Below are 19,100 nucleotides of genomic sequence, written 5' to 3'. Positions count from 1 at the left end.
AGATAGGAATTATACCTCCTCTTACAGGCTGCGGAAAACGGAGGATCAGAGAGGTTCAGGAGTTTGCCCAAGGTGATACAGCTCAGCAGTGGCCAAGCTGAGATGCAGGCCCAGATGTACGCAGCGGCATTTGTGAAGGATACGTATAAATGCATAGTTGGAAGGCAATTCTCCATAGAATCCTGTTCTGTGTGCCTTTTGAATAGAGGATTTGATAGTCTCTGTTCTGGACTATCTTTTCAAGATGTGGGTAAAGTAAACAGCCTTGAAAAAAGACAGTGTCCCCTCTGGGGCAGAGGGCACATCTGTTTCCTGACCAGGATAATTATATCTCTCACTCTGAGGCAAAGGCTGGGCAGGTTTGTCAGCAGTCTCCCTGAAAAGAGTGGGATTTTCTAAGCTTGGGTTCCTCAGCTGTCACACAAACCCATGGCATGCGCGGAACCCACCCGGGCTGCTCCACATTGCCCCATGGGACCTGCAGAGCAGGGAGCACTGATGTGAGCATGAAGCTCAAGTCGCTTGCTGCGGTGTGAGTAATAATGCCCTTTGACTCCGGGAGTCTCATGTCTTCTGTCTGCATCTTTGAAATTTTGGAAGACTAACTTGAAGGCAAAGTAAAATTGCAAACCCCTCACAGTTCTTGACATATCTGTGCTAAGCTTCAAAAAAATCAGTTGTAAAAATCCTGGAGGAGAGACGTGGCTGAACAGCAGTGTTTAGGAAAGAGAGATCTCCTCTCAGAATGAGTCAAAGGTTTTGCATTAGACAAGGCAAGATTTGGCCCTCACTGGCCACATTAGTGAATGCATTAGGGCTAGATCCAAGGAGGTAATAGATTTTCCTGAATTATTATGTCCTGTTCTGAAAAAACTGTTCTATAAGAACACTAACAGACCAGAGCCTGACCTAGTGAAGATTTTTAGAGAGAATGTGCATTTGGGAAAACAGTTGAGGAAAATGGCTACATTTAGCCCAAAAAAAGGGATGATGCGGAGGGGGATATACAGTTTTGGTTCAAACATAATAATTCCTGGTGTCCATGCTGCCCTGCACAGTTTGTTCTTTCTCATTCACCATCTCATTTGATTCTCCCACCCATACTATGAGCTATTACTACTGTTCCCATTTAACAGAAAGGGAAACTGAGGCTCCAAGAAATTAAGCATCTTGTTCCAAGTCAAACAGCCCCAAATCATGAGTGGTGGAGGCAGGCCGGGAACTCAAGCCTCCTGCCTCCCCATCTCAGGTGCCACATTACCATATTTAAGCGGCAAAATCCCAAGGCTTGTGGCAACGTATCATAACTACCATCAGTGCACTGCACAAATGAGAATGCCGTGGCTGGGGACCATGACGTGATTTCCCCGGCAGCGCAGTGGCAGGGCCATGCTGTAGCCCAGGGAGACCTGACTCCCATGGAAGTCTCTGTTTGGTGAGGTGGTGAGCCTCCTGTTGCTAAAGATACAGACACAACGGGTGACTCACCCTGCATAAGGGATGATGGGGAGGGATTCTGGCACATTACAGTCTGTGCTTCTACATGGGCGGTTTGGTCAGCATCCCAGAATAGCGCAAACAGACGAGTCAGAACTTCCACCACCCTCCCCAACTGAGGGGTCATTATGCTCACTGCGGGCATTTATTAAGGCCTTCCACCAGCCAGGCCCTAGAGAGCTGTAAAGAGAGGCACAGCTTACTGCATTAGCCCTGAGGGTCTCCTATGCAGAGGAGAGGCAGACAGATGGGTAAAGAGAGAGATGCGACAGACGCTTTAGTGTTCTGCTGGGGGCTATGGCTTGACTCCCTGGAGTGCTCCCTCCCCAAGGCCTCATGACTGTGGGTGGGACCACATCCCTCCTTTTTTTGGTACCTCCTCCCACAGTGGGCTGCTGGAGACTGACAGGGTGAGCCGTGTGACCTGGCTAACAGTGTTCTGTAACACTGGGAGGCTTCTGGGTGACAGGTGGCCATTGGAGACTGAACAGGCAAAGGCCATCATGGGGGTGGGGCTCTGCTCCTCCTACAAGACCACCAGCTGCTGTTGGGGCTCAGCCTGGGATTTCTAGGACCACAGAAGAGGAGGGGGCCTGCCTGCTCCTTGCTGAGTCTGGCCAGCCCAGGGAGAGTCCCATTCTGGGGGCCAGGGGTCTGCCCAGGCTCTGCTTATCTTCTGCTGCCTTCCTGATGGATTCATCAAAGTCAACATGTACTGGGCACCTCTCTGCATGGCTGCCGGGACACAGAAGTGAGCAGACAGCAGGGACTGTGTGGTGCCCTCGCTCCTTGGTCACCTTTCATAAGAGGTGAGCAGCTGTCAGGACAAGGTGCCCTTAGCGAGAGCAGGGAATTTAGTGCTTGTTCCCCAGCGTCCCCAGTGCCTAGAACGGTGTCTGGCTCATCCTCAGTGCCTGTTAACACTTGAGAATTAAATGGGCCGGGGAAAGGTGTGGATTCTGGACATGGTTTCAACCATCCCCACTCATTTTTAAAAAGCAAGAATGTTAGTCAAATACAGTGAGATCCAAAAAGCCTCTGGGCTTTTAAATGGCCTCTGGGTAGGGTGACCAGCCATCCCAGTTGGCCTGGGGCTGTCCTGGTTTCAGCACTGGAAGTGGAAGTCTCCTGTCTTGAAAGCCCCTCAGCCCTGCAGAAACCGGGGTGGTTGGTCACCTTACCTCTGAGTCACCATTTTGACAGAGAAGTCCAGAGGTTTAAAGGGGTCAGCCCTCTCCAAATACAAGCCCCATTGAAAGACCTTGAGCCGGCGTCTTACCCTGTCTGGCCTCCACTCTCCTCCTGAGTCAACTGAGTCATCCCAGGTTCACACCATGGAATCGTTCAGAGGAAGAAGAGGGTACTGCGCAGAATGCCTGTGCTGCTGGGCCCAGCATGCAGCAGACAGTTTGCAGGGGGACAAGAGAGGGGCGCTGGGGACTGGGGAGTTTGAGGACGTGGGGCAAGGGTGGGGGACTTGGTGCTGTCCGGATCACTGGCCTTGGGGAAAGTCATAATCCAGACTCAAAGAGGAGGTGCCCCGCAAGCTGATGCAAGCCATAATTTTCTGTCCAGTTTCTTTCTTGTGCCTTTATTAATTCCCTGCTCTTCCTTGATTGGTTTATGAAATATTTACTGGTTCTAGCCCTGGGCTGGGCAGCAGCAATCCTGACATAAATGAGATGAGAACCTTGGCCCTCAAGGGAACCTCGGAAGGGAGGGATGCCCTGATGGTGAGCTGCTTGGAGCTGCAGGGGCAGAGGAGAGGTATAGCCTCTCCCGGGGGGAGCAAGCTTCCTGTCCTCCAACGCCCCTCTCAATTCTTTCAGCCTCCTGTGGGGTCCCCACCCCCACCTCTGGCACCAGCCTGTCTGAGTCGTGGGACACCTGGCTTCAGCCACAATCCACTCTGCCCAGACAGGCTGCAGAGACGGCCAGGCTGGAAGGAGTTGTGACATAGAACCACACTCTCTGGGGCTCACATCTGCCTCCATCTCACCCCAACACTCTACAATCCATCAGCTGTGACTCAGATCTAGCCTTGACCCCAGCTTAGCCTCTTCTCACCTGGATGACTTTGGGCAAGGCCCCAAAGCTCTCTGAGCCTCGGTATCCTCTTCTCTAAAATGGGCATGCTGAATGTGTTGCCTTCATAGGCTGCCCACGCAGCACAGAACTCTTAGCAGGTGCTCAAGATTCACCTACGACAGCTATCCTCTTCTTCCACCAGAGGGCGGGGCTCCTGCCTCACAGGTCTTCGTGCCTAGGAATGATGGTCTGTATGCAATGTGTGCTCTCATGCTGTTGGCAAGGATGACAAAGACGATGAAGGCTGGCAATCACTTCTTTCTGGCTTTCCACATTCCCCAACACAGCCTGCCTGCACGGCTGGCCCTGCCTAATTGATTTGATTATTGGGATACGCAGCAGGACCCGGGTGGAACCTCCATAGGAAGAGAAGAAGGATTGGCAGGAGGTCAGAGAGAAGGCAGGAGATGCAGGAAGGGCTGCTAAGACTCAATGCAGAGAGACGGTTTCAGGGTGCCTGGGAGAGCACATTAGTCAGCCCCCCTCAGGTGTCCCTCAAAGCTGCTGGAAACCAAGTCTTAATATATTTCTAATCAGCTTCCAGAGCTTCATGCTGAGGAGATGGATGAGGGGTCCTCACGAGGGCTGGAAGAAATCAGCAGTGTTCCAGCTCTTGGCTAAATGGAAGGCTGGCAAACTGCGTGGGCCTCAGGCTGGAGCAACCTGCTCCCGGCATTTCCCCTCACTTTCATCCTTCTGGGGAACAAGGCTTCCTAGGACCCAGGGATTTGGGATGGAGGCCTAAAGAACCCATCTCTGCTCACTGAACTGCCCAACTCTGGGTCCTGGTCTGCAGACCCCACACCTGAATCAAAGACTGGCTCCCTCAATGTCTCATGGAACATCCTGTCACAGGATACCTGGAAGAACTCCAAGTGGCAACGGCAGACTGGAAAGGAGTTAGGCTGGTCCATGCATGATTTGGCATCCTCACTTGTTATTCCCCAGGCTCACTTGACCTGTAGAGTATGTATGTATGTTACTCACATTTTGTGGCATTTGGGAGACAGGGAGAAAGAGAAATGCTGGCTGGATCAGGGGCCCATAGCTGGGAGGTAGGGGTAATGGTCTAGATTTAGATTCAAGTGTCAACATTCCTTTTCCCACAACGGGAGAAAAGGAGGAACGGTGGAAATATAGCTGTTAAAAGCACAGCCTTATGAAAATTCCACATCCAGCCAAAATGGAGTAATAGGGAATAGATTTACCCTCCCAACTGAAACAACTGAAAAACCAGATAAAATACATGAAAATGATTTTCAAGACACCGGACATCAGACAATGAAGGACAGTGACCCTCGAGAGATGGGAAATTGGCAAGATGAGCCATACAGGTGCTCCGGTTTACTGCCTATGGAAAGTTTCCAGGCCATGGAGCAGTAAACTCAGGCAGGGCTCAATGGACTCTCTGAGTTGAAGAATGGAAGTGAGAGTCTGAGGAGAGTGAGGCAGCTGGAGACCACATGGCAGAGTATGGAGAGAAGACAGCCGCCCACAGAGAGAACCCTGGGGTTTGAGAGAGGGACCACTCAAACATTCAACAAAGGACAGATGAATGCATGTTTGTACAGAAACTGCCTGAGGCAGGGAAAGAATCACCCAAAAAATTATAGAAAATAGTGCCTGGAACCCATATAGGGCCAGAAATAGTGCCTGTTTCCATCACCCATCTTGAAAATCTCATCATTTATGAGACACTGAGCAGGTAGAATACTCAGAACAGCATTGCCTTTGTGATGGGGAATAATTACTCTTAGATTAAATTTGGCTTGATCCTGCCTAACAAATCTTAAAAACAGTACTTGCAAAAATCAAACTGTTCTCAAGCATCTGAACTGCATCCCAGAACAAAGCACAAGAATATTTATGGGAATACAAAAATATCTAGCATACACCACAGTTAAATTCACAATGTTTGGCATCCAACCAAGAATTATCAGGCATGTAAAGCAGCAGGAAAATATGAACCATATGAGGAGAAAAGGCAATCAATCAAAACCAATCCAGAATTGACATATTTAGAATTAATAAGTGAGGACATTAAAACAGTTGTTATAACTGTATTCCATATGTCCAAAAAGCTACAGGTAACAATGAACATGTTAAGAAGAGAATGGAAGAGATATGTTTTTATATAAAAGATCCAAATTAGCTTCTAGAGATGAAAACTATAATATCTAGTATCAAAAGTACATTGGGTGGGGCTATTATTAATAGCAGATTAGATATTGCAGAAGAAAACCTTGTTAACTTGAAGACATATCAATAATAACTATCCAAATAAAACACAAACAGAAACAAAGACCAAAAAAAAAAAAAATGAAGAGACTATCAGTGAGCTCTAAGACAACTTCAGGTGACCTAATATATGTGTATTAGTCCCAAAAGAAGAGGAGAGAGAAGACAGAACTCTCTCTCTCTCTCTCTCTATATATATATATACGTATATATGTATATATATACGTATATATGTATATATATACGTATATATGTATATATATACGTATATATGTATATATACGTATATATGTATATATATACGTATGTATATATGTGTATATATATACGTATATACGTATATATACGTATATATATGCATATATATACACATATATATATATAGCTGAGGCAGGAGAATGGTGTGAACTCAGGAGGCAGAGCTTGCAGTGAGCCGAGATCAAGCCACTGCACTCCAGCCTGGGCGACAGAGCGAGACTCTGTCTCAAAAAAATAAATAAATAAAATAAAATAAAAGCTTCAACACTCCATTTAAAAAGCAGAGATTGTTAGATTGGATTTTAAAATAGGCTCTTAAAAATTTATGTCCACAGAAAAACCTGAACACAGATGTTTATAGCAGCTTTATTAATAATTGCCAAAACTTCAGGTGATCTGCCTGCCTTGGCCTCCCAAAGTGCTGGGATTAGAGGCATGAGCCACCACACCTGGCCCAACATGGCAAAACCCTGTCTCTACTATAAATACAAAAAATTAGCTGGATACAGTGGTGGGCACCTGAAATCCCAGCTACTCGGGATGCCGAGGCAGGAGAATTGCTTGAACCCAGGAGGTGGAGGTTGCAGTGAGCTGAGATCATACCACTACACTCAAGCCTGGATGACAGAGCGAGACTCCATCTCAAAAAGAAAAGCAAAAACTTGGAAGCAAACAAGAAGTTCTTCAATAGGTGAATGGACAAACAAGCTGTGGTACATCCAGACAATGGAATATTATTCAGCACTAAAATGGAAAAAGCAGGCTGGGCGTGGTGGCTCACACCTGTAATCCCAGCACTTTGGGAGGCCGAGGCAGGCAGACCACCTGAGGTCAGGAGTTAGAGACCAGCCTGGCCAACATGGTAAAACCCCATCTCCACTAAAAACACAAAAATTAGCTGGGTATGGTGGCATGCACCTGTAATCCCGTCTATTCGGGAGGCTGAGGCAGGTGAATCACTTGAACCCGGGGGGGCAGAGATTGCAATGAGCTGAGATCACGCCACTGCACTCCAGCCAGGGCAACAGAGTGAAACTCCATCTCAAAAATATAAAAAATAAATAAAAATAAAAAATAAAATAGAAAAAGCTATCAAGCCTTAGGTGCATATTACTAAGTGAAAGCAGCCAATCTGAAAAGCTACATACTGAATAATTCCAACTATGATACCCTGGAAAAGGTAAAACTGTGAAGATAGTAGAAAGATCAGTGATTGCTAGGAGTTAAGGGGAGGGAGAGGCAAATACATGCAGCCCAGAGGACTTTTAGGCCAGTGAAAATACTGTCTATAACGTGGATCCACGTCATTATACTTTTGTCCAAGCCCACAGAATGTACAACACCAAGAGAGAACCCTAATGTAAACTATGGACTTTGGAGTGTTTTGTTTTTGTTTTTTGAGATGGAGTTTCACTCTGTCACCCAGGCTGGAGTGCAATGGCTCGATCTCAGCTCAATGCAACCTCTGCCTCCCAGGTTCAAGCGATTCTCCTGCCTCAGCCTCCTGAGTAGCTGGGATTACAGGCGCCCACCACCACACCCAGCTAATTTTTGTATTTTTAGTAGAGACAGGGTTTCATCATGTTGGTCAGGCTGGTCTCAAACTCCTGACATCAGGTGATCCACCTGCCTCGGCCTCCCAAAGTTCTGGGATTACAGGCATGAGCCACCGGGCTCAGCGACTTTGGAGGATTCTGATGTGTCGACGTAGGTTAGTCAGTTGTGGCAAATGCACAGCTCCGGTGGGGATGCTGATGGTGGAAGAGGCTGTGCATGAACAGGGGCAGAGGGGCATCTGAGAAATCTCTATGCCCTCCTCTCGATTTTTCTGTGAACTTAAAACATCTCTTTAAAAAAGTTCTTAAAAATAATAGGCTGACGTGATGCAGAGACCTGTGTTTGATCCCCAGCTGTGTGCCCTCTAAGCCTCAGTTTCCTCACCTATAAAATGGATCTGAATGTGCCTATTCCAAGGGGCCATTGCAAGGATTCAGTGAGATTGTGTGTGTTGCTCAGCACAGGGTTTGTCTGCTACCTCAAAGGCATCTGTTGAATGGTAGCTGTGATGGGAAGGTACAGGGATGTCTTGAGGGGACACAGTGAGGAGGGAGTGAACACAGATGGGTCTCCATCACCTCAGTGTAGAAAGAGCTGGGGTGCAGGACCTGAGCAGGACAGAGCACACAGCAAGTGCTCCCTAAACACTCAAGCATTTCATTGGAGACTGGCCATCCACCTGCAGATGTCCCAGTTCTCTTAGCTTTGTGAGATTCCATTGTTTCAAGTCATATGTCTGAAATCTTAAAACACTAGAAATTTGGTCTACAAAAATCACTGGAATGTTTACTTCTTGAACTGCTCATTACACCTCTGCATAAAATGTGGCCTTATACCCTCTCCTGAAGCAGGTCTAATTAGAAGGATAAAATATTTAAATCTTTGCAATGGAAACCTGAAGTACAACCAGACAAGCCCTAAGATAACAGACAATTTGTATTTTAATGATAATTCTTGCTTGAAGAAAAAGAAGCACTCATTGGCTGAAGAAAATATTCTCTAAGAAGCAGACTGCCAGACTCCCTAGAATTCTATTTTTCTGGGCAGCGATATGTTCCTCTGGGGACCGACAACTTCTGCTAGTTTCTTGCATATCTGTCAGAATGAGGCCCTTCCCCATAGCTAAGACAGTTTCAAGAGATAACAAAATCACCTCTCCAATAGGAAGAGATGTCTTTTGTGTCTTTTTTCCCCTCTGTGAAAAATGATTAAAATGCAAATTAACTGTGAGTCTCTCAAGGTCCTGGGGGACCTTCTCTTTAGAAGGGGAATTAGCAGGGGATATGCCAGCATCTCAGCTGTGATTAGATACACATGTAGTATCTCCCAGAAGGACAGGCCCAGTGTTAATATGATGTTAATATGTAGGTGAGACTGAATCTTCCCACCTGGCAAGGGCCAGATTCCAAGAGACAGGCGAAAGAGCGAGGTGGGGGAATTCCCAGCTCCTCAAGCACAGGAAACCTACTTGGATCTCCCCAATATGTAGCTGAACCAAATAAAATGGTCATTTGATAGGTCAAAAATGGTCAAATGTCAGCAATTTCACATGGTTCAGCCTAATAAAGCCATGGCCTACCTCCTTAGTAATAAGTGACTTTTCTACTGGGCTTGGCAGTATTTTAAGGTTTTGCCAAGCTCTACACACCCTTGTTTAGTCTAGAGATAATACACTGGCAGCCCCGGGATGAATCCAGCCCACACACCTGTTTTGTTTGGTTCAAGTAGTAGCCAGTCCCCAAGGACAATGACCATCCATTCTGTCCCTTGCTCCTAGACACACACACTACATCAAGAGCTGGAATCCGACTCCCCTCCCTTTAAATCTGGGCTGGCCTGGAGACTTTCTTGACTAAAAGAATGTAGTGTTAATGACATTCTGGGACTTCTAGGCAGGTCCTACGAAGCCTGCAGCTTCTACCTGGAACTGCTGGAACACTCTTTCTTGGGGGAGCCAGCACCATGCAAGAAGAGCAACAACCTTGGGACCTCCATACTGGGAGGAAGCCCAAGTCACCTGAAGAAGCCCTTGCAGGATGAAATCCCAAGAGGAGAGTGGCCAAGTTGCCTAGAGGCACCAGACAAGTTCAGAGGAAACTACACGCTGGAAGCCTAGACTCCAGTCTCTGCTGTTCCAGCTGATGCCACTCGGGCAAAAACAAACTGTCTAGCCAAGCCCTTCCTCAATTCTGGTCCCACAAAATCGTCAGCACAATAAATGATTGCTTTAAGCCATTAAGTAACTGAAGTCATAAGCAGTAAGTAACAGAAACAGTCCACACCATGGTTGGTAGGTCTGGTAAAAATTTCTAACATTTAATTGTTAATTTAATTGTTAACATTAAAACAACCAGAGTGCATGAGAAAATCAAAGTTTCAGCTTTCTTTTAAACACAGAAGCACCTGCGGCCCCAGGCCTGTGTTTCTGCATGGCATGAGCAAGGGGCTAGAGCTCCAAAGCCCCATCCAGGCCAGGCTGGCCAAGCTCTCCAGGGCATCACAGCCCCCACTCCATCCAACTCCACTCCATGAGGTCACCTGGCTGGTTTCGGGCTCCCTGGACTTATACACCCACCCCCTCACCACCTGACCCCTCTGCTCCAATGGCCACTAGCAACTCACACTCCCAACAGGAGATACTGTTTCAAGCCTTCTTGCCTTTGTGCACACAGTTCCCTCTGCCCAAAACACCCACACTCCTATGTCTGCATAACCGCCATGCATCTCTCAAACTCAGTTCAAGTCAAAAACCCCTGAAGGCTTGCCTGATCTCTGGGCTCCTGGAGCCCCTGTGTTTACCCCCATCTTGTTATCTATCACTTGGAAGGCTCTGAGGCACATCCCTTAACCTAAAGCATTCCATGTAGGGAGGGCCTGGCACACAGGAAACATTTTCTAAGACACTAAATGAACAGTTCCGTGAGGACACAGTTTTGTCCCCATTTCACAGATAATGAAACTGAGGTTTAAATAAGCGATCTGTTCACTGCTGCCCCAAGATCAACAGCTGCTAATATGAGGGCCAAGATGCTTATCCTTTACGGGTCTTCAGAACCTGTTGTGGTTTGAATTGTGTCCCCTCGATAGGTAGAATGAAGTTCTAATCCTGGGTCCTCTGAATATGTCCTTATTTAGAAACAGAGTCTCTGCAGATGTAATCAAGTTAAGATAATGTCATTAGGGTGGGCCCTAAGCCAATATGGCTGGTGTCCTCATAAGATGAGAAGAGACTCAGAGAGACACACTGGGAGAATGCCACATGACGATGCAGGCAGAGACTACAGCAATGTGTCCACAAGCCAAGGAATGCCAAGGACTGCAGGTAACACTGTGATGCCAAGAGAGTGGCCTGGAACAGATTCCACCCCCACCCCCAGCACCTTCAGAGAGACTACTTTGGCCCTGCTGACACCTGGATTGTGGACTTCCAGCCTCCAGAACCATGACAGAATGAATTTCTGTTGTTTTAAACCACCCAGTTTGTAGTAATTTATCACAGCCTTAGGAAACTAATAGAGATTGGTTCAAGAATTTGTTTAAAAATGTACACAGCTGGGTACAATGGCTCATGCCTGTAATCCCAGCACTTCAGGAGGCCAAGGCAGGAGGATCGCTTGAGCCCAGGAGCTCTAGACCTGCCTGGGCAATATAATGAGACCTCATTTCTACTAAAGATAATTTTTAAAAGACTAGCCAGCCATGGTGGCATGTGCCTGTAGCCCCAGAGACTCAGGCAGTTGAGGTGGGCAGATTGCTTCAGCCTGGGAGATTAAGGCTGCAGTGAACCATGATCGCACCACTGCACTCCATCCTGGGCAACAGAACAAGACCGTGTCTCAAAATAAAAAAGAATAATGATAATAAAATAAAAATGTACACAAACACAACCGCCTGGATGGATCAGAGGATGAAGCTGATCCACAGAGGGTCCCTGGCCCCCCCAGCTCTTGCAGGGGTACTGCGGTGACATGGAAGGATGGTCCTGCATCAGTGGATGTGGCTCCGCTCCTGGCCCTCTGTTTGCCGGCTGAGCCTCCCTGGCTATTCATTCCAAATCTCCCTTTCTTGATGATGGGAATAATAAAGGCACCCACCTCAACTACAGGTTTCCCACCTCTGGCAGGTGTGGCCTGGAGAGAGGGAGAAGCTCAGTTTTGGAGCAAGTTCCAAGGCTATGTCACTCTGGGCCCAAACATTTTAAGTTGCTGAATCGATACTGTGTTAGGTGACTTCCAGTGACCACATGAGTTTTTAATGGCCTAAGGGTGACCAGAGAGCCAGGGATCTGTTTCATCCAGGGAGGGAGAAGTGGGAGGGTGGATGTATCCTATAGGGTGGGCTTACACTCTGAGTCTCACCCTTCATTGACCACTGGGATCAGCTGGGGAATGCAAGGAAAGTGCTGGTGCCTGGCTCCCACCCCTAGAATCTGATGGGAGTATCGGAGGTGAGACCTGGGCAGCAGGACTCTTGAAAGCTCCCAGGTGATTCTAATGGCAACAACATTTGAGAACCACTGGCTTGAAACCACTCACTGCAGGGACGGGACAGTGCAAGACAAAAAGAAGGTTGAGCTTTTAGACCCGAGGCATGCTTTAACAGGAGAGTTACGCCATAAGAACAAGTGAAGGAGCCCTCCTGTCTCTGTTGTCCATCCCATTCCCCCATAATGAGTGCTGGCTTAGCATGCAGAACGTTCCTGAAATGTTCGCTCCCTTCCCCCAGCATGTGCCTCTGTGTCACTGCACTTCTTGGATGATGTGGGCTTCCCCTGGAGCAAGTGAGCATCCCAACGGGCCCAAGTGGAAGCTAAGGCTTTTTAGGACTTGGCCACAGAATGTCACCAATACTGCATTCTCTTCACCAAGAAAGCCACTAGACTTTCTCTTCACCAAGGACAGTCCCAGATTTAAGGGGAGAAGAATCAGATTCCAGCTCTTGAAGTGGTGGGCAGCAAGCATGTCCAGGAGGGAGACAGGGAATGCATGGCGGCTGTCTTTGAACATGCGTGATCCTGCCAATGAAACAGGGATTTTGGACTCAGTCCTAAAAGACTGTGATTCTCGCCTTGTCCCCAGCCCACTGGACATCCAGGTGGCCCTGTCCTCTTGGCCACTCCTGGCCTAAGAGAAATGAATGGCCTTTTTCACTGTTCACATCCTCCAGAGTCACCAGAGACTCAGGCACTGTGTGGAGTGGGGCTGGGGTGTTTCCAGGGTAGGGGAGAGGGCAACTGGGAGCCTCCAGGGCTCAGAAGTAAGATGGGGTCCACGAGCACACTCTCAGTGCCTGCAGCCTCTCTTACACTGTCATACAGCCACGTGTACTGCACCAGGGAGGGCACCTCTGTCTAAGAGGATTTGCCAGATAACTGGTGTCTACTCTGTACACCCAAAGAGGATATCTATTTAATGCTTAGCTTTTGAGTGGAAAATCTTTCTAAAATGGCTTATGTGTTCTGGGTCTTCTTAAGCCAAAAACAGGAATCACATTTAACAACATGGGGAAGAAGAAACGTGGGCTTGGAGTCACGTGGATCTGGTTTCACTGACTTAGTTAATCACACAAGCATGCATGCCCAGCCCCAGGAATCCCTCCAGCTTCTATCCTCTACAGGGGCTGAGGTTTTCCCAAGGGACTGCTTCAACTATATGCCATTCTCCTGCTCAATAACTTGCAATGGCTCCCACTGCCTTACTGATTAGATGCAAACTTCTCACCCCAGCAATCAGCACCTTCTATAATCTGGCCCTGGCCTCTGTCTCCCAGCCCTCCTGCACCCCATCCTCTAGCTTTCTGAAGAACTCTGTGAATATTTTCTGGACTTCGCTATCTCGATATCTCTCCACCTAGAACAGTCTTAACTCCCAGGCCCACCAGGAGATATATGCCTACAGTTCTAATCCATCTTCAGCCCCCATTCTCAAAGTCCTGATGATGACAGCTGTTCAGTGGCATTGGCATTTGACACTTTGAATTCACCATCTTCTCCTGTTAATGTCTTTTCATGAACATACATCTTGTCCTCATCCAATCCTCTAATAAATACTTGAGGACCTACTACGTGCTGGGCACCTTCTTCAACCCAGCCCAGCCCTTTAGCCATTCCCCTCTGTGTCTTAGCCGGGCCCATCATTTCTTGAAGCTTTTATAAACATGCAGAAAGAAAATCTACGTCCTATTCAAGTTTGTCCCACAGGATCCCTGTCCCAGTGCCTGATACGGAGCTTGTCACAAGGCAGGTACTAGACATTTGCTGAGCAAGTGGATGGATGCACCAACATTTCGCTGCAAACTGCCCCCTGCTGAGGGAAAGACTGCACAGAGAGACAGTGACTGTCACACACACCTGGTGGCCACAGGACACACCAGGAGCAGGGTCTGAGCACTTGCTCCAGCCAAGCACTGCGAAGTATTGCAGGTAGGGAAGTAACAGTTCCCATCCTTATGGGGATAATGGGATGAATCAACAGCAGAAAGCAATCTACTAGAAAGGCACAATAGTAAGCCCACTTCCCAGAGGGAAGAGAAGAGAGAAATCATTCTGAAATAGATCTGTCCTGTACCTTACATCGTATCTTTCTCAGGATGAAGCAATAAGGTGGAAAACCCTTTGCAGATACTCAGGCCCAGATGTGAAATCCAGTTCTCCTCCTTGCAAATGGCATGCTCTTGGGCAAATTATTTAATCTCGTTTAGTGTCCTGACCTGTAAAATGGGGCCTCCGTCATGGACTTGTAAGGATTTGCTGTGATAAAATATGCCAAGCACCCAGCGTCTGGCACATAGTAGGTGCTCAACAAACCTTAGCGTCTGTTCTCATATGTGTGGTACTTCATGTTTCTGTTCCTTGCAGCTAGCACAGTACTGCGCATGTAACCAGTGTCAAAAATGTGTCAAGGAGAATACATTGACCGAGTGGAATGTGAATTGTAAACAAAAAAGGAAAAATAGGAACCTGGTCTCTGGGCAGATTCTGCCTGAAGACGTTAAAAAGCCCTGTATTTATTTCGTCAAGTTGCCATGGCAGCAACTGATGCTCCAGCCAGCTCCAGGGTTAGCAGGGATCAGTTTATCTTGTTAACCATGGAAATTCCGGAGGTTCAGTGGGATCCAGAGGGGAAGGCAGACACAGTTCTTCTCCAGTCTAGAAATAAATCCTGGAAAGCCTCCTTAGTTTTCATGTAGCTAAAACCATCATTATCTAAAATGATGTTTACATGACAATTTTTATAAGTATGGATTTAGGCACAGGAGATGTAAAATCAGGCAAAAAAAAAAGGGCCAGCGATACTCAGAAGGGCAATTAGCATCATGGAAAACTTAAGGGGCTGCCGGAGAGCCAGGATCTAGACCCCCAGAACTAACTTGGGGCTTCCGCATCTTTTAAGCCTCCATTTGCAGACTCGCTGTCCACACACAGTCTGGATTTTGCTGTCACTTTTTAAACAGGCTTCCACTACAGGTGAAGCTTGGGGAAAAAGCAAGTGTCCCCTCAAACTTCGTTCCCTGTAAAAGAAAACAGCAGCAGATGGGGTCCCTGCCACACACCCTGGAGACAGAAGGGAGCCTGGGTGGCCTCCCGACCTCTCTGCTCCCACCATAACCAACCAACACAACCAGAGAAGGTGCAAGATGTGGCTTTGGTAGATTGGGACTTACTCTCCCAGGCCAAACGCAGCCCTTCCCTGGAGCCAGCTCTGGGTCTTCTCTAGGGTCACAGACTGATGGAGAAATCCGGGATTTGTCTTTGTTCTGGCTCAAGAGAGTTAAGGCACAGAAATAGAATCATCACCCAAGCTCAGAACTCCAGGGCATTCTGCCGGAGGAAAATTCAAGCTGTGAGAGATTTGTTTTTCCGGCCACTGGGAGCCTGTTTGTGTCGGGGAGGGGGGTGGGGGGGTTCTGGCCGCGCTGGGCACTGGTGGCTCCATCAGACTCTACACAAAGCAAAACAGGACAAACGACCGCGGCGCGTCGACGCTTGGCGGGTCACGGTCACAAAGCGGGTCTCAGAGCCTTCCTCAGGCGGCGGCAAAGGGGGCGCCCGAGGTCACCGGCAAGAGACAGATTACTGGCGCCTCGGGAAAACAGAGTGGGGAAGGGCGAGACTGTGTGCCCATCCACGTTCGCGCGGGTCTGAGCTGGCCCGGCCTTGGAGGGCTCCGGGACCCCAGAAGGGGGACAGCAGTGGGGGATGGGCAGAAGGGGGCGACTCGGGCTGCCCAGGCTCCTCGCAGCCTTCCTGCCAACGAGAGGGGCCCGGGCGGGAACAGCTCGAGCCGCGGGGGTGCGGGGCGCGCAGCCCGCCCCACCCCGGGAGAGCCGCGATCGCCGCCCCCGACGCGTGCACCAAGTGGGGGTGTCCGGCTCGGGACAAAGGACCGGGACGCGGATCGCGGGCGGGCGCCACTGCCCAGCCCCAGCGTGGAGGGCGAGACCGTGGCCCCGAACCTCCCCAAACTTGGCGGCCCGGGGCGCGTGGGGGGGACGCCCCGTTACCTGCGCGGCCATAAAGGAGAGATCCATGGTGTCGCTGCAGCCAGCGCTCGAGTCCTCGCTGCTGCCGCTGCCGCTGCGGGTCAGCCGCCTGCACAGTTGGCGGGGATCGGGCTGAGCAGCGAGCGTCCGGAGACCGCACGGCGCACTCGGCTGTCTCTGGGCTTCTGGCTCCAGATCTCTACTAGGCGGAGGGCCCCGAGCGCGGGGGCGGGCGGGGCGGGGTGGGGCGGGGCTCGGCGGACGGGGCGCCCCTCCACGTGACCACTCCCCGCCCCACCCCCGGGGCGGGGTCCGTCAGAAACCCCAAGCGCTCGCAATCGCCTCCCTTCGTGGGCGGGATGGGGAAACTGAGGCCCGAGGCCGCCCCGCTGGTTGGTGCAAGAACCAGCCTGCAACCCAAGTCCTGAGCTGTTGGCGCCCCGCCCCGTGCAGTTGAACCCAACCCACCCGGGGCTGTGGGCAGCGCTCTCTTGGGGCTGACACGTTATCCCGAGCCTGAGGACCAAGATCGGAGTGACCTGGCTTTCCACGCCAACGCTCCTCCCAGAGTCCGGTGTACTCCCGGCTCGGCATCTGGGCAGAACGAGGTTTAATCCTAGCCCTGCTTTGTTGTGCAGCTTGAGCAAGATAGTGTCTTTGAGCCTAGATTTCCTCATCTGTGAAAAGAGAATACAGAACCGAATAATTAAATGAGATAGGGAATATAGCACGCGGTGTCCTCAATAAATGAGAGCCCTAACATGGCTAATCATCCAATAGAGACGAGGCTGTGAGTGGTGTCTTCGAGGACCGCACGGTGCTCAGGTTGCACAGCGGGTACTCCATGGCTCTCAGCTCAAACCAGTATCGAAAATCATGCAGGTGCCACAGTTCAAGTAAGGGGAACAGAAGAGACGCCCACAGGGGCCCATTGCTCTGTATGTGTGTGTGTGTGTGTGTGTGTGTGTGGTGGACACCACAGACTTGGTGACACGTGGAGGCTTTGCCCTCCGGGGGCTCACTGGGAGGGAACCAGCTGTACTCTAAGGAGTCTCAGTGAGTACGACTGGTCCCTTTGGGTGATGTCTCTTCCAGGTACTTTACACTCATGGTCATCACGAGCCTCTGTGAGGGGCAGCCTGGGACTCCCAGACTTTGTCACAGGCAAGGAAGCTGTGGCACAGGGAGATGGAGGGGTTTGTTCAAGGTCCCCCGGCAGCTGGGGGCCCAGTAGGGACTGTGGCTATGGGAATGGGACCAGAACCTCACTGACCTACAGAAGGCTTTCAGTGTTATCTTTCCTGTAACTTTCCTTTCTTTTCTTTTCCTTCCCTTCCTTTCTCCCTCCTTTTCTTCCTCCTCTTCCTTCTCTCCTTCTCTCCCCTTCCCCCCACTTTTTTCTTTCTTTTCTCTTTTCACTTTTCCTGTCATGCTTGCCTCCTCCCTTCCTCCTCTGGTCTCTAAACCCTCCAGTTCCCTGGCCCTCCCTTCCCTCCCTGTTTTTAGCCAGTACTGCACTCACCACACCCATCATTCCTGCCACCTCCCAGCCTAGTCCACACGGGGCCTGCCCAAACAGTCCATGCCAAGAGCCGCCCACCTCCTCCCACCCTTCCTGTGGCCAATAGCAAAGCAGCCTGCCCAGAACTGCCCAGGGCTCCCCGTCTGCTGTAAGAAATATTATGTACACGGCATACTTCACAATAAAAGGGCGTATAGGTTGTGTGTGTGCAATTTGAAAAATAATATAGCCTTGCATAGGTTAAAAAGTGGAACAATAAAAAACAGTCGTGAAGTCCTACTGTGTATCTCTCCAAAGGCATCTCCTACCTGCCCCCTTTCCAGGGTCACCTCCATCCTATTTAGTATTCACTCTTGTCAATTCTCTTGCTTTTCTTTATAGTTTTACCTTTATAGATTACCTGCTTTAACCCTTTGTAGAAAAATTAAATTGCTCTAAATTTGCTCTTCCATGTCTTCTTTGTTGTTTTCTCAGCATTATTTGTGTAGTTGACGTATATTGTTTTTCAGTGCTACACAATATTCCATTTGTATGTCCTTATCACAGTTTTTATTGATGCACTAGCCCTTTGATGGATACTTTGGTCATCTCCAGGTTTTCTGATAACGCCAAAAAAAAATGCTGCTGTGAATACTCTCGATCTTGTCTTTGGATGCACAGGTGCAAGGGGTCCTCAGGGAATACGCTAGGAATGGAACAGTTGGGTATTGTGGTCAGCTCATCTGTGCTTTTACTAATTGATGCCCATTGCTTTCCAGTTTCTGATTTCCAAGGAGGCTTCATCCATTTTATTATCCTACCTATAGTAGGCATGGGTTTTTATTGCTCCACAATTGACCAACACTTTGTATTGTTAGGATTTTTTTTTAAGTTTTGCAAATATGATATGATGAAGTAGTGTTTCATTTGGATTTGATCCTCATTTCTCTGATTACTAATGACATTAAGCATCTTTTATACATCTATTGATCAGTTTCATTTCCTTTGATGAGAAATGCCTTTCACCAGGTCTTTTGTGCTTGTTTTAAAATTTTGCTTATTTTTTTATTGACTCAGGAAAAGTATATGTTTTAGATATTAATCTTGCTAGTTATAGGTTTTTAAATATCATCTTTCATTTTACATTTCTTGTCACTCTATTATACCTTTTCATGAACAGAAGTAAATAATTTTAATTTGGTCAAAATTTATTAATATTTTCTTTTATAGTTAGCCCTTGTTTAATAAATTCTTTGCCAACTTGAGACCATAAAGATAAAGATATTGTCCTGTAGTATTTTAGTAAAAATTTAAATACTTTTCTCATATTTCAGCCTCGTATAACTGATATATTGTGTGTGAGGCGGGAGTAAGGAAGCAATTTTATTTTTCTCATATTAATGTTCAATTATTCCAACCCCATATTGACTAGATCAGCTCTTTCCTATTGATCTGCAACACCAAATTTGTCAGGTGTCCA

General features: G+C 48.4%; 1 protein-coding gene across 4 annotated transcripts in view, besides 4 other annotated features; it reads right to left on the bottom strand.

The window, feature by feature from the left end:
- The window catches only part of C14orf132 (chromosome 14 open reading frame 132), a 54,610-nt gene extending 38,304 nt beyond the window's left edge, over positions 1-16,306 (bottom strand). For 2 of the 4 annotated variants that reach the window (NM_001252507.3, NM_001282464.2), the window contains exon 1: positions 16,141-16,306. In NM_001252507.3, coding sequence (NP_001239436.1) covers positions 16,141-16,167 — 27 coding nt within the window. In that variant the 5' untranslated portion in view covers positions 16,168-16,306. Of the gene's footprint in view, positions 1-4,445; positions 4,545-15,300; positions 15,394-16,140 lie in introns of all 4 variants that reach the window. The other 2 variants (NM_001289139.2, NM_001282463.2) reach the window with 2 other exon arrangements.
- Positions 1,561-2,060: an enhancer, noted in NCBI's record as "H3K4me1 hESC enhancer chr14:96519945-96520444 (GRCh37/hg19 assembly coordinates)". NCBI's record gives its function as "activates a minimal SCP1, AML or CMV promoter by ChIP-STARR-seq in naive H9 embryonic stem cells {active_cell/tissue: H9 hESC(naive)}" and the evidence as "EXISTENCE:reporter gene assay evidence [ECO:0000049][PMID:30033119]".
- Positions 3,463-3,522: an enhancer, noted in NCBI's record as "active region_8981". NCBI's record gives its function as "activates an Ori minimal core promoter by ATAC-STARR-seq in GM12878 lymphoblastoid cells {active_cell/tissue: GM12878}" and the evidence as "EXISTENCE:reporter gene assay evidence [ECO:0000049][PMID:35858748]".
- Positions 16,197-16,246: a silencer, noted in NCBI's record as "silent region_6052". NCBI's record gives its function as "represses an Ori minimal core promoter by ATAC-STARR-seq in GM12878 lymphoblastoid cells {active_cell/tissue: GM12878}" and the evidence as "EXISTENCE:reporter gene assay evidence [ECO:0000049][PMID:35858748]".
- Positions 16,267-16,456: a silencer, noted in NCBI's record as "silent region_6051". NCBI's record gives its function as "represses an Ori minimal core promoter by ATAC-STARR-seq in GM12878 lymphoblastoid cells {active_cell/tissue: GM12878}" and the evidence as "EXISTENCE:reporter gene assay evidence [ECO:0000049][PMID:35858748]".

This window comes from Homo sapiens, chromosome 14 (genome assembly GCF_000001405.40).
Source record: "Homo sapiens chromosome 14, GRCh38.p14 Primary Assembly".
Taxonomy (NCBI): domain Eukaryota; kingdom Metazoa; phylum Chordata; class Mammalia; order Primates; family Hominidae; genus Homo; species Homo sapiens.
This window is presented reverse-complemented; position numbering and strand designations above follow the sequence as displayed.